Source organism: Homo sapiens, chromosome 19 (assembly GCF_000001405.40).
Source record: "Homo sapiens chromosome 19, GRCh38.p14 Primary Assembly".
Classification (NCBI taxonomy): domain Eukaryota; kingdom Metazoa; phylum Chordata; class Mammalia; order Primates; family Hominidae; genus Homo; species Homo sapiens.
Window position 1 is genome coordinate 14,714,468 of NC_000019.10, and position 13,044 is coordinate 14,727,511.

At 43.9% G+C, this 13,044-nt stretch overlaps 2 protein-coding genes across 12 annotated transcripts in view; one reads left to right on the forward strand and one right to left on the reverse strand.

Annotated features, from left to right (window-relative positions):
* The window catches only part of ZNF333 (zinc finger protein 333), a 43,956-nt gene that overhangs the window by 24,681 nt on the left and 6,231 nt on the right, over positions 1 to 13,044 (forward strand). For 8 of the 11 annotated variants that reach the window (XM_011528362.3, NM_001352239.2, NM_001352240.2 and 5 more), the window contains 5 exons: positions 915 to 1,003; positions 1,645 to 1,771; positions 2,527 to 2,622; positions 3,190 to 3,266; positions 3,761 to 7,432. In XM_011528362.3, the coding sequence (XP_011526664.1) occupies positions 915 to 1,003; positions 1,645 to 1,771; positions 2,527 to 2,622; positions 3,190 to 3,266; positions 3,761 to 4,858 (1,487 nt within the window). In that variant the 3' untranslated portion in view covers positions 4,859 to 7,432. Of the gene's footprint in view, positions 1 to 914; positions 1,004 to 1,644; positions 1,772 to 2,526; positions 2,623 to 3,189; positions 3,267 to 3,701; positions 7,433 to 13,044 lie in introns of those variants that run through there. The other 3 variants (NM_001352244.2, NM_001352243.2, NM_001300912.2) reach the window with 3 other exon arrangements.
* ADGRE2 (adhesion G protein-coupled receptor E2) overlaps positions 9,704 to 13,044 on the reverse strand; it is a 54,390-nt gene continuing 51,049 nt past the window's right edge. The window contains exon 20 of the mRNA XM_047438720.1: positions 9,704 to 9,727. Within this exon, the coding sequence (XP_047294676.1) occupies positions 9,719 to 9,727 (9 nt within the window). The 3' untranslated portion in view covers positions 9,704 to 9,718. The remainder of the gene's footprint in view (positions 9,728 to 13,044) is intronic.

Sequence of the window (13,044 nt, forward strand, 5' to 3'; positions counted from 1 at the left end):
ACTCTTCTCAGAGCGTCAGAGGAGGCGTGGCCCTGCTGAGCTTAACTTTGGACTCCTCGTCTCTAAAACTGCGAGAGGATACATTTCTGTGGTTTTAAGCCACTCAGTTTGTGATACTTTGTTACGGCAGCTGCAGAAAACACATGTGGGGTCAGGGATTGGGTGTGGGTCAGGTTTAAAAAAAGTGAGGGGAAAGGTCCCATCGGGAGGGAGAGGTGAGGATGCAGGGGATGAGGGATGATCTGGGAGTTGCTTGCTTGTCTGTCATAGGCCAGAAGGAGGATGCCTGGTGCAGAGCGAGGAGTGGTGTTGATTTGAAGGCAGGTGGGAAGGAAGTTTCTTTTTAAGGCAGACTTGCAGGTTGGTTGTGGTTTATCTGCCCTTGATTTGTGGTAAGTCCTGGAGCACCACTAGCCCTGCAGTGTAGAGGGGCAGAGAAAGGGGCCAGGCAGCCGGGGAGGAAAAGCTGTCCCAAAGCTGAGTCGGGACAGTGGTGGGGGCTGCAGGAGCTTTGGAGTCTCCTGGTGAATTATGGAGTCTATGGCTCTTGGGATATGGAATGAAGGCGTGCGTGTGTGTGTGTGTGTGTGTGTGCACGTCTATATGTCTCTTTGTGTGCTGGTCTGTGTGTATATGTTATATATATGAACAGGTGCATGTGGTATGTAACTGTGTATATGTGTGCGTGTTTGTGTGTATATGTGTGCATGTCTGTGTACGTGTGTGCATGTGATTGCATGCATGCGTGTGCAAGAGCTTGCAGATATGTGTCTGCATGTGTGTGTCCCTGTGAGTGTGTGCATGTGTGTGTGTACACATGTGATCACTCACAGCCAGGGTGGGCAGACTTGGGGCCTGTGAGTGTGCCCAGTAGGCCAGGCACCAACCCTCATGCCTCTTCCCTTCTCCCCTAGCTGTGCCTGCACGTGACCCTGCCTGGCTTCAGGAGGACAAAGTGGAGGAAGAAGCTATGGCTCCTGGGCTGCCAACCGCCTGTTCACAGGTAGGTAAGAACTTCTTGTTCTAAAAGAACACTGCTGTGCCCAAAGGCTGGACTTACCTTCTTCCTGTGACCTGTCTGGATCATCTCATAGGGTTGGTCTCCATGCTTTCAGGGACTGGGCCTCTTGCAGTGGGTGTCAGCAAGGGAGCATGGGCCATGATCCCACCACCTCATTCAGACCCTCCCCAGGCTGCTGAGCACCAGGAGGGAAAACAAAGCAAGGATGTCAGCTGTCCTCATTTTGTGGTCTTCATGGTCTCACTGAACAAAGAGTTGAGTCATTTTCCAGATAGTTCCCTCTTGCCTGTACCATGCTCAGGTCTGCTGGACCCTGGAGCTAGAAGGGGGACAAATCTGTAAGAGCTTCCTGGCTCCTTGTCAATAGATAAGTCCTGTCCAGAGGTCGAGGACTTGCAACATTAGTTATTGCCTCTTGCTGTTCTTACTTAAGGAGTGGAGAGTAGAGAGAGGAGTTCTAGTTCAGAGTCCTGAGCTAAGGGCCAGATTCTGCGGGATCTCAGAACCCTGTCTGAAAGTCCTCTGCCTGGGTTTTCCCTTCCCCAGGCTTGCCAGCCTCCAGCATCCTCTGGCGTACTGGTGGGGGTGGTCCCTGGCTGAGCCGGGATGGATGTGTGTTTTAGGAACCAGTCACCTTTGCAGATGTGGCTGTGGTGTTCACCCCAGAAGAATGGGTGTTTCTGGACTCTACTCAGAGGAGCCTGTATAGAGATGTGATGCTGGAGAACTACAGGAACCTGGCCTCTGTGGGTAAGGCAGCTTCATCTTTTCTTTCCTTTTTTTTTTTTGAGACAGAGTCTTGCTCTGTTGCCTAGGCTGGAGTGTGATGGCGTGACCTTGGCTCACTGCAACCTCCGCTTCCTGGGCTCAGGTGATCCTCCCACCCCAGCCTCCCGAGTAGCTGGGACCACAGGGTGCATCATCACACCTGGCTAATTTTTGTATTTTTTTGTAGAGATGGAGTTTTGCCATGTTTCCCAGACTGGTCTCGAACTTCTGGGCTCAAGTGATTCACCTGCCTCAGCCCCACAATGTGCTGGGATTGCAGACATGAGCCACTGTGCCTGGCCAAGGCTTTGCCTTTTCATCACATTTATGTACCAACCATAAGCTCTAGAAATTGTGCAAGTCTGGGAAACCTAGTGGTGAAAAAAAAGATAATTCCCACCTTCATGAGCTTCCAGTCTACTTACTGGCCTTTCTATGGAATGAAGATCTTTTTACTGCCCTGTCTTTCTGTGACTAAAAGTTTTTGGGCTTCTCAAAGGTATTCCTTAGCTAGGCCCTTGGTTTTGTAGACCGGAGAGCCTCAGTGTCCTCTGAGACCTAGTGAGGGAACTTGTATTTAGTTGCTCAGTGGAAGAGTTTGGCTGTGGCCATCAGAATTTAGGCACATGCATTTTGCCACTCCCATCTCTAGAGCCCCTAAAGACTTGAGAATATCGGCCCTGGTGTCAGGGCATGGCACAGTCCTCGCACAACATGTGTTTTTTTCTCATGAGCAGCTGATCAACTGTGCAAACCCAATGCGTTGTCTTATTTGGAAGAAAGAGGAGAGCAGTGGACCACTGACAGGGGCGTCCTCTCAGACACCTGTGCAGGTGAGCCCAGGCAGATCAGGTGAGCATCAGCTCTGGTCAGTAAGGGGAGTGTCCAGTTTGGAAACTGTCTTATCAGGGCAACCTATTCATACCTTTGACTGAGAAGCCTGTTTGGTTGAGCTCCCTTATTAAATGCCACCTTCTTTCCTTTTTCCCTTTCCTTTTTAATCTCTAAAACTTTGCATTCATCTCCTAGAAAGATCTGTCCTACTTTCTCTTCATATTTAATATTTCCATGTGTATATTTTATCCATTTCCTCCCCACTGTACATTCTTGCTAATATTTTTCCTCAACATTAGTCACAATCTTTGTAGAATCCTTTTTTGGTAAATTACCTACTATTTCCTTCCCATGTTCCTCTGATTACATAACTTCTCATCTAGCCACACACCTTAAAATTTTCCTTAACTTTTAGATGCATTCCTTCTCATTGCAATTTCTTCCCGTACATAGGACCAGTATTTGGGAAAAAAAGTCCACATGTGCCTTGCCTACTTTTGAGGTGACCTTGATCCCACAGTTTCTTTCTCTGTGTGCTTAACTTTTTCTTCCCTAATTCATTTCAGAACCTCAGTGTCAACCCCAAGAGGCAATTCCTAGCCAAGATACTTTTACAGAGATCCTGTCCATTGATGTGAAAGGGGTAAGGCTCACCAGGGATTATTCATGGTTCTCTATAGTAGGATGAGTCTGGGGTTAACCGTAAGTTAGAAAAGCAGCCCAAGAGCCAAGAGCGATTCGAGGCAAGAAGTGTTTACCCAGAAGGAAGCAGTTTCTTGGGAGAGAGTCCGTGAATGTCATGAATTGGTGGAAAACTAAATGTAGATCATGTTCGTACAAGTAAGCATTTTCACAGATATGACACATACAAAGTGTTTAAGACTTAATTTAGCCTTACACAAATTGGAAAAATTCTGCATCTAAGAAGCTGCATGAAAATAATGAAAAGATAGCTCTTTGCAACAGAGTATCCACCCTATTCCACTTGAAGGAACTCTGGATAGAAATGGTATGGACTCCATAAATGGTAAAAGTATCAGATATAGAACTGTCTTTTTCTTACATTCATTTCACATAGGGGAGAATATCTGTGAATCTAATAAGGCCTTTGGTCTTCACATTTTCCTTCATCGACAGGAGCAACCTCAGCCTGGAGAAAAACTCTATAAATATAATGAACTTGAGAAACCTTTTAACAGCATTGAACCACTTTTCCAGTACCAGAGAATTCATGCTGGAGAGGCATCCTGTGAATGTCAAGAGATTAGAAATTCCTTCTTCCAGAGTGCCCACCTAATTGTGCCCGAGAAAATCCGTAGTGGGGATAAATCCTATGCATGTAACAAATGTGAAAAATCCTTCAGATACAGCTCTGACCTTATCAGGCATGAGAAGACTCATACTGCAGAGAAGTGCTTTGACTGTCAAGAATGTGGGCAAGCCTTCAAATATTCCTCGAATCTCCGGCGACACATGAGAACCCATACCGGAGAGAAGCCATTTGAATGTAGTCAGTGTGGGAAAACCTTCACGAGGAACTTTAACCTGATTTTGCACCAGAGAAACCACACAGGAGAGAAGCCCTACGAGTGTAAAGATTGTGGGAAAGCCTTCAATCAGCCATCATCCCTCAGGAGCCACGTGAGAACTCACACTGGAGAGAAGCCCTTTGAATGCAGCCAGTGTGGGAAAGCCTTCAGGGAACACTCTTCACTGAAGACACATCTGCGAACCCATACCAGAGAGAAACCATATGAATGCAACCAGTGTGGCAAGCCCTTCCGGACGAGCACTCATCTGAACGTGCACAAGAGGATACACACAGGGGAGAAACTGTATGAGTGCGCGACTTGCGGTCAGGTCTTGAGTCGTCTTTCAACCCTGAAGAGTCACATGCGAACTCACACTGGAGAGAAGCCCTATGTGTGCCAGGAATGTGGGCGAGCCTTCAGTGAGCCCTCATCCCTCAGGAAACATGCAAGGACTCACAGTGGCAAGAAGCCCTATGCATGCCAGGAATGCGGGCGAGCCTTTGGTCAGTCTTCACATCTTATTGTACATGTGAGAACACACAGTGCCGGGAGACCCTATCAATGTAATCAGTGTGAGAAAGCCTTCAGGCACAGCTCCTCACTCACTGTACACAAAAGAACCCATGTGGGAAGAGAGACCATTAGGAATGGCAGCCTGCCTTTATCCATGTCTCATCCATACTGTGGGCCCCTTGCTAATTAACTTCCATTTTGTAAAAATATAAACACATGGGGCTATGACTTTCCCTCGTAATACTCCTTTAGCTGCATCCTGTGTTTCAATGTATAATATTTTCATTTTGGTTTAATTGTAAGTATTGTCTTAACCTCCATTATCGTTTATTCTTTGACCCATCTATTATTTGGAATTAGATTTTTCAAAACTAATATGTGGATATATTTTCATAGAGGTATAATGACTTATAGTGAAATGCATACATCTGAAGTGTACAGTTGGATGAGTTTGACAGATGCATACATGCATGTAACCACCACCCCATTCCAGATATAGAATGTTTCTATCTCTCTGGAAGGTTCCTGCATGTTATATGGCTATTTCTTAGTTGCCTTTTTGTTGTTGGTTTCTAATTTAATTACATGGTGAGAAGAGTATGTGGCCTCTTTGTTACTGAGTCATAGGTATTTGCTGAGATTTGCTATTAGGTCTGGTGTGGCTTATTCTTCTAGCTGCCAACCCAAATTACCCCTTCCTCCTTAGAAAAGAACCTGGGTTTTCTGTTCAGATTGGCAGTGTGCACTATTAAAAAGCTTCCATCTCCCGGCTGGGCACGGTGGCTCATGCCTCTAATCCCAGCACTTTGGGAGGCTGAGGCTGGGGGATCACCTGAGGTCAGGAGTTCGAGATCAGCCTGGCCAACATGGTGAAATCCCCTCTCTACTAAAAATATAAAAATTAGCCAAGTTTGGTGGCATGCACCTGTAATCCCAGCTACTTGGGAGGCTGAGGCAGGAGAATTCTTTGAACCCAGGAGGCAGAGGTTGCAGTGAGCCGAGATTGCGCCACTGCACTCCAGCCTGGGCAACAGAGTGAAACTCTGTCTCAAAAATAATAATAATAAAAAAAAGCTTCCATCTCCCAGCCCTTCTTGCAAGCAAGGGCAGGCCATTTCCTCCGGTCCTGGCTAGTATGAATATGAGAAGTCACTGGATGTGACTCTGGGGAAGATATTGTGTTCAGGGATGGTTTCATGTAGCCACATCTCTCCACTTCTTGCCTTTTGGACAAGTAGACATGATTTCTAGACCTAGAGGAGCCCTCCTGTGACCATAAGGGTAAAAGCCGCAAGCTAAGAAGAGGGTGGCCGGAAGTCATAACCATCTTGCTTCTGTAATCTAAAAAATATTTAGGATAGATTTAATAGAATTGGCATATTTATGTGATTGCAGCAGCCCTGGACTATTTATTTCTGGATGTCCCATACATGAAAAATATGCACTTCTTACTGGTACAGTTTTCTTTTGTTTGTTTTTGTTTTTGGTGGGAGGTTTATTTCACCTGAATATAATTCCTAACTGATGCACTTAGTATATGTCAGTTTTTATAAATGCTTCATGGATGGTTGAAATCAATGTATTGTATTCTACAAATGTCTGCTAGATCAAGCAAATGTGTTTAAAAACCATCTACACATTTATAAATGTTGATCTGTGATCTAGCATTTATTGAGAGAGGTATGTTAAACTCTCCCACCATGATTATGTATTGCTGAAAAATCTTTGTCATTCTGTCAGTTTTTAAATTTATGTATATACATACATATATATGTTTTGAAGCAATGAAATTAAATATAGATACTGACATTTTTTACATTTCCAACAAATTGTTACTTTTATTCTTATAAAGTGATCATCCTTTTCCCTATTACTGAACATTCAACCATTCATTGTAATGATAGTAAATACTTATTTAGAGTTTACTATTAATAGATAGTAGCCACTGCCTGAAGCTTTGCATCTTTTAATTTAGTCCTCACACTGACACTTTGAGGTATGTACTGTTATCCCCAATTCCCAGATGAGGAAGCTGAGGCCCAGCAAGTTAAGGTGGGCTATCAAAGTCATCTGGGTGGCATGTGACAGGCCTGACTCTCTCTACAGTGGCAGACCCAGGGGACTAGTCTCCATTTTTACTTGTTCTTTTTTTTTTTTTTTTTTTTTTTTTGGTTTTAAAGTTCTCTTAGGTATAACTTACATAAACGTTAATAAATCTTAGGGTACACCTTGGTGAATTTTGTATATGTCTATACCCACCACGGTCTCCATCAAAATATTTTATCGTCCCAGAAATTTCCCTTGGGCCCCACCTCATCCTCAAAGGTTATCACTATTCTGATGTCTATCACCATAGATTTGTTTTTCCTGTTCATGTAAATGGAACCATAAACAGCCCTCTTGTGTCTGTTTTCTTCACTTAATATAGTGTCATTGAGATTTATCTATGTTGTATTATCAGTAGTTTATGCTTTTTAATTGCTGTGTAATAGTCCATAGTCTGAATATACCACAATTTAAAAATTCTATTCTGTTTACAAACATTTGAGTTCTGTCCTCCAGGTTCATCCATGTTATCACAAATGACAGAATTTCCTTCCTCATCAAGGCTGAATAGTATTCCATTGTGTAGATATACCACATTTTCTTTATCCATTCATCCACCGATGGACAGTTAGGTTGATTCCATATCTTGGCTATTGTGAATAATCCTGCAGGTTTTATTGTTATGAATAAAGCTGCTGTGAATGTTCTTGTTAAGTCATACTGTGGACATAGGTATTCATTTCTCTTGAGTATAAATGTAGGAATGGAATTACTGGATTTTGGAGGAGACCTATCTTTAGCTTTAGTAGATCTTGCCAGACAGTTTTTCAATGTGGTTGAAACCATTTACACCTCAATTTGTACATCAATGAATGAAAGTTTCATTGCTTCACATCCTTGGCAACATGTGGTACTGTCACGCAAATTAATTTGAGCTACATTAGTGGGTATGCAGCAGTTTCTTAGGTTTAATTTGCATATTCTTGATAAGTAATGATGCAGTGGTAGATGGTTGCCACAATGACTTCTTCTATCCCTCTATGTATATGTCTTTTCCATGTGACTTTGCAGCTCCTCCTATCAAGAGGTGGAGTTTATTTCTCCAAACCTTGAAGACGAGCTTGGTCATGTGACTTTCTTTGGCCAATGGAGTGTTGACAAACATGACAGAAGCAGAGGCTGGAAGAACACACGTTGGGCTTTTCCTTCTTAGTTGTGACCATTTGTATGTCATCTGTGGAAAAATGTCTAAGTCCTTTGACCATTTTTAAATTAGTTTTTTGTTGTTGTTGAGTTGTGGAAGTTCTTTATATATTCTGAATATTAACCCCTTATCAGATATATGATTTGCAAATATTTTCTCCCATTCTAGGGGTTACCTTTTTACTTTATTAATTGTATCCTTTGATATGCAGAAGTCTAAGATTTTGGTGTAGTCCAACTTATAGATATTTTTTGTTTTCTTTAGATGTCATATCCAAAAAATCATTGCAAATCTAATGTCGTGAGGCTTACCCCCTATGTTTTCTTCTAAGAGTCTTATTGTTTCAGCTCTTGCATTTAGGTCTTTGATGTATTATGAGTTAATTTCTGTTTGTTTGTTTGTTCGTTTTTGTGTTTTTGAGACGGAGTCTTGCTGTGTTGCCCAGGCTGGAGTGCAATGGCGCAATCTTGGCTTACCGCAACCTCCGCCTCCCCGGTTCAAGTGATTCTCCTGCCTCAGCCTCCTGAGTAGCTGGGACTACAGGCGCATACCACCATGCCTGGCTAATTTTTTTGTATTTTTAGTAGAGATGGGGTTTCACCATGTTAGCCAGGATGGTCTTGATCTCCTGACCTTGTGATCTGCCTGCCTTAGCCTCCCAAAGTGCTGGGATTACAGGTGTGAGCCACCATGCCCAGCCAAGTTAATTTTTATATATGGAGTAAGAAAAGAGTCCAACTTCATTCTTTTGCATGTGCATATCCAGTTTTCCCAGCACCATTTGTTGAAGACTGTCCTTTCCCCATTGAATGGTCTTGGCACCCTTGTCAAAATTCATTTGACTATAAATGTGAGGTTTTATTTCTGGGCTCCCTCCTCGATTCCATTGGTCTATATGTCTTATCTTTATGCCATTACCGTATTGTGTTGATTACTGTAGTTTTACAATAAATTTTGAAATAAGTGTGGTGTGAGACCTCCAACTCTGTTCTTTTTCAAGATGGTTTTGACTTCTTGGTTTGGTATTCTTGAGATTTCATATGAGTTTTAGGATGGATATTTTTCTGTTTCTGCAAAAATATTAAGTCATTCAGCCCGTGAACATAGTATGTCTATTTGTGTCTCTTTTAAGTTCTTTCAGCAATGCTTTTTAGCTTTCAGTGTACAGGTTCTTCATCTCATTGGTTAAGTTAATTCCAAAGTATTTTATTGTTTTTAATGCTGTTGTAAATGGATTTGTTTTCTCAATTTCCTTTTTGGGTTGTTCATTGTTAGTGCATAGAAATGCAACTGTTTTTTTGTGTTGATCATCACACTTCTTTTGCAACCCATATTATGAAGTGTCACTACTCTCCTTGGTCCAAGTTAAAATGCTTTCCTGGATCCAAATGGCATTTCTTTTGTGGGGAATTATCAACAGTAAAGATCTAGGTTGATCAAAACTCAAGTGTGAGAAATGACCAACAGGAGAGGGCAGAGATATCCATGGGATGGAGATGAAATAGCCTTTGTTATTATGGGTATATTATGGGCCTCTTTTCTCATCCAATCCAGGATGCTGACATTCAAGGTGACAGATCAGCTGTTCATCTTGGGCTGCACCTGGTGTTTGGGCATTCTGCAGGTGGGCCCAGTTGCTATGCTCTTGCCTATCTCTTCACCATCATCAACACCCTGCAGGGTGTCTCCATCTTTTGGTGTACTGCCTTTTCAGTCAACAGGTGCCACTGTCTAGGTCCCACTCAAGACTCTTCTTGTCCTTGCCTATCTTAATGAGCTGACCCAGAAGATGCTTTGCCTCTAGCAGGTCTGGGGACAAAACAAGAAATGGTTCAAAAAGATCAGAATGAGAAGAGCTAGGTCTGAGAAATACACACACTTTAGAAGGGCTGTGCCTGATGCCTTCAAACCTAGCACAGTAAGATCATACATTGCTCTTCCCCACATAGCTTCTCTTACTGATTCACTTGGGGAGCACATGGTTATAACACTGGCAACCTGGTCCACAGTGGGTGATGTTCTAGGATGGCTCACACGAGGATGGGTCACACTTGGTTGATTTATTGGATGACATTTTCTCCATTAAAAAGTTTGTTTAAGCCGGGCGCAGTGGCTCACACCTGTAATCCCAGCACTTTGGGAGGCCGAGGCGGGTGGATCACCTGAGGTCAGGGGCTCGAGACCAGCCTGGCCAACATGGTGAAGCTCCATCTCTACTAAAAATACAAAAATTAGTTGGGTGTGGTGGCGGGAGCCTGTAATCCCAGCTACTCTGGAGGCTGAGGCAGGAGAATTGCTTGAACCCAGGAGGCGGAGGTTGCAGTGAGCCGACATCATGCCATTGCACTCCAGCCTGGGCAACAAGAGTGAAATTTTGTCTCAAAAAGAAAAACTTTGTTTAAAAATTTGGCTATTCCTCATTAGGTGACTGTGCTGCTTGATTCTTACACATGTGCATTAATTCTTTCCGTGAAAATATTGAGCACCTATTTGGTGCTGTATTTAATGCTATGTTCTTCATAAATGTAGGCAAATACCAAGCACTTTTAGGGAGAGATGTACTGTGTTAGTCTGTTTTTGCATTACTAAAAAGGAATACCTGAGACTGGGTAATTTATAAAGAAAAGAGGTTTAACGGGCTCACGGTTCTGCAGGCTCTACAAGCATGGCACCAGCCTCTGCTCAGCTTCTGGCGAGGGCCTCAGGAAGCTCACAATCATGGCAAAAAGTGAAGCAGGAGCAGGAACATCACATGATGAGAATGGGAGCGAGCAGGCAGGGGAGATTGCATGCTCTTTTAAACAACCAGATCTCGCATGAACTACTAGAGTGAGAACTGACAGCACCATGGGGATGACACTAAGCCATTCATGAGGGATTTGCCCCCATGATCCGAATACGTCCCACCAGTCCCCATCTCCAATATTGGGGATTACATTTCAACAAGAGATTTGGAGGAGACAAACATCTAAACTATATTATTCTGCCCCTGCCCCTTAAATCTCAATACCTTCTCAAATTGCAAAATACAATCATCCCTTCTAAATACCTCCCCAAAGTCATAAGTTGTTCCACCATCAACTCAATCAAAAGTCCCAAGTCCCAAGTCAAAAGTCTCATCTGAAGATGAATTCCTTCCCCGTGAGCCTGTGAAATCAAAGACATGTTATTTACTTCCAAGAGAAGATGGTGGTATGGGCACTGGTTAAACATTCTCATTTCAAAAGGGAGACACAGGCCAAAAGAAAAAGGCAACAGACCTCATGCAAGTTGTAAACCCAGAAGAGCAGTCATTAAATCTTAAAGCTCCAAAATCTCCTTTGACTCCATGTCCTGCGTCAAGACACACTAGTGCAAGATATGGGATCTCAAGGCTTTGGGCAGCTCCAGCCCTGTGGCTTTGCAGGGTGCAACCCCCATGGCTGCTCTTATGGGTTGGAGTTGAGTGCCTGCAGGTTTTTCAGGCAGAGGGCACAAGCTGCCAGTGAATCTACCATTCTGGGGTCTGGAGGGAGGTGGCCCTCCAGCTCCACTAGGCAGTGCCCTGGTAGGGATTCTTGTGGGGGTACGGGGGAATCCAATCCTAATAGAGTTCCTCTGTGGGAGCTATGCCCCAATGTCAGTCTCCTTCCTGGGCACCGTGGCTTTTCCATACATCCTTTGAAATCTAGGTGGAAGCCACTAAGCCTCCTTCATGCTTGCAATCTGAGCATCTGCAGGCTTAATACTACCTGGAACCACCAAAGCTTACAGCTTGCAACCTGCAGAGCTGCAACCCAAGCTATACCTGGGCCCCTTTGAGCCAAGGCTGGAGCCTTGAGTGGCTGGAACGTGGAGAATGGTGTCCAAAGGCTGCACAGGGCAGCGGGGCCCTGGAACTGGCCCGCTAAATCATTCTTTTCTCCTAGGCTTCTGGGTTTGTGATGGGAGAGGTGGCCTGGAAGATCCCCGAAATGCCTTCAAAGCCTTTTTCCTTTTGTCTTGGATCTTAGCACTTGGCTCCCTTTTAGTCACGTTAGTCTCTTCAGCAAGTGGTGGTTCTGCAGCCCTCTTAAATTCTTCCCCCGAAAATGCTCTTTCCTTCTTTACCGCATGGCCAGGTTGAGAATTTTCCAAGTTTTTATGCTCTGCTTCCCTTTTTAAATATAATGTTCAACTTTAATTCCTTTGCTCCCACATCTGACTGTAAGCTGTTAGAAGCAGCCGTGCCTCTCCTTGAACACTTTGCTGCTTAGAAATTTCTCCCACCAGACACTCTCTAAGTCATTACTATTAAGTTCAAACTTCCCGAAAGCCTTAGGACATAGACGCAATGCTGCCAGGTCCTTTGCCAGGGAATAACAAGGCTGACCTTTGCTCCAGTTCCCAGTAAGTTCCTCATCTGAGACCTCCTCAGCCTGACCTTCACTGTCCATATCTCTACCAGTATTTTGGTCACAACCCTTTAACCAGTCTCCAAGAAGTTCCAAACTTTCTCTCATATTCCTTCTTCCTTCTGAGCCCTCCAAACTCTTCCAACTTCTGCCTGTTACACAGTTCTAAAGCTGCTTTCACATTTTCAGAAATTTTCTGTATTAGCCTGTTCTTGCGTTGCTATAAAGGAATACCTGAGGCTGGGTAATTTATAAAGAAAAGAGGCTTTTTTTTTTTTTTTTTTTTTTTTGAGGTGGAGTCTTGCTTTGTTGCCCAGACAGTGCAGTGGCGCAATCTTGGCTCACTACAAGCTCCGCCTCCTGGGTTCACACCATTCTCTCACTTCAGCCTCCTGAGCAGCTGGGACTACAGGTGTCCGCCACCACGCCTGGCTAATTTTTTTGTATTTTTAGTAGAGACAGGGTTTCACCGTGCTAGCCAGGATGGTCTCGATCTCCTGACCTTGTGATCCGCCCGCCTTGGCCTCCCAAAATGCTGGGATTACAGGTGTGAGCCACCAAGCCCGGCCCAAGAAAAGAGGTTTAATTGGCTCACTGTTTTGCAGGCTGCACAAACATGGTACCAACATCTGCTTGTCTTCTGGTGAGGGCCTCAGGAAGCTTGTAATCACAGCAGAAAGCAAAGCGGGAGCAGGCACATCACATAGTGAGACCAGGAGCAAGAGACAGAGTAGAGACGTTCCATACTCTTTT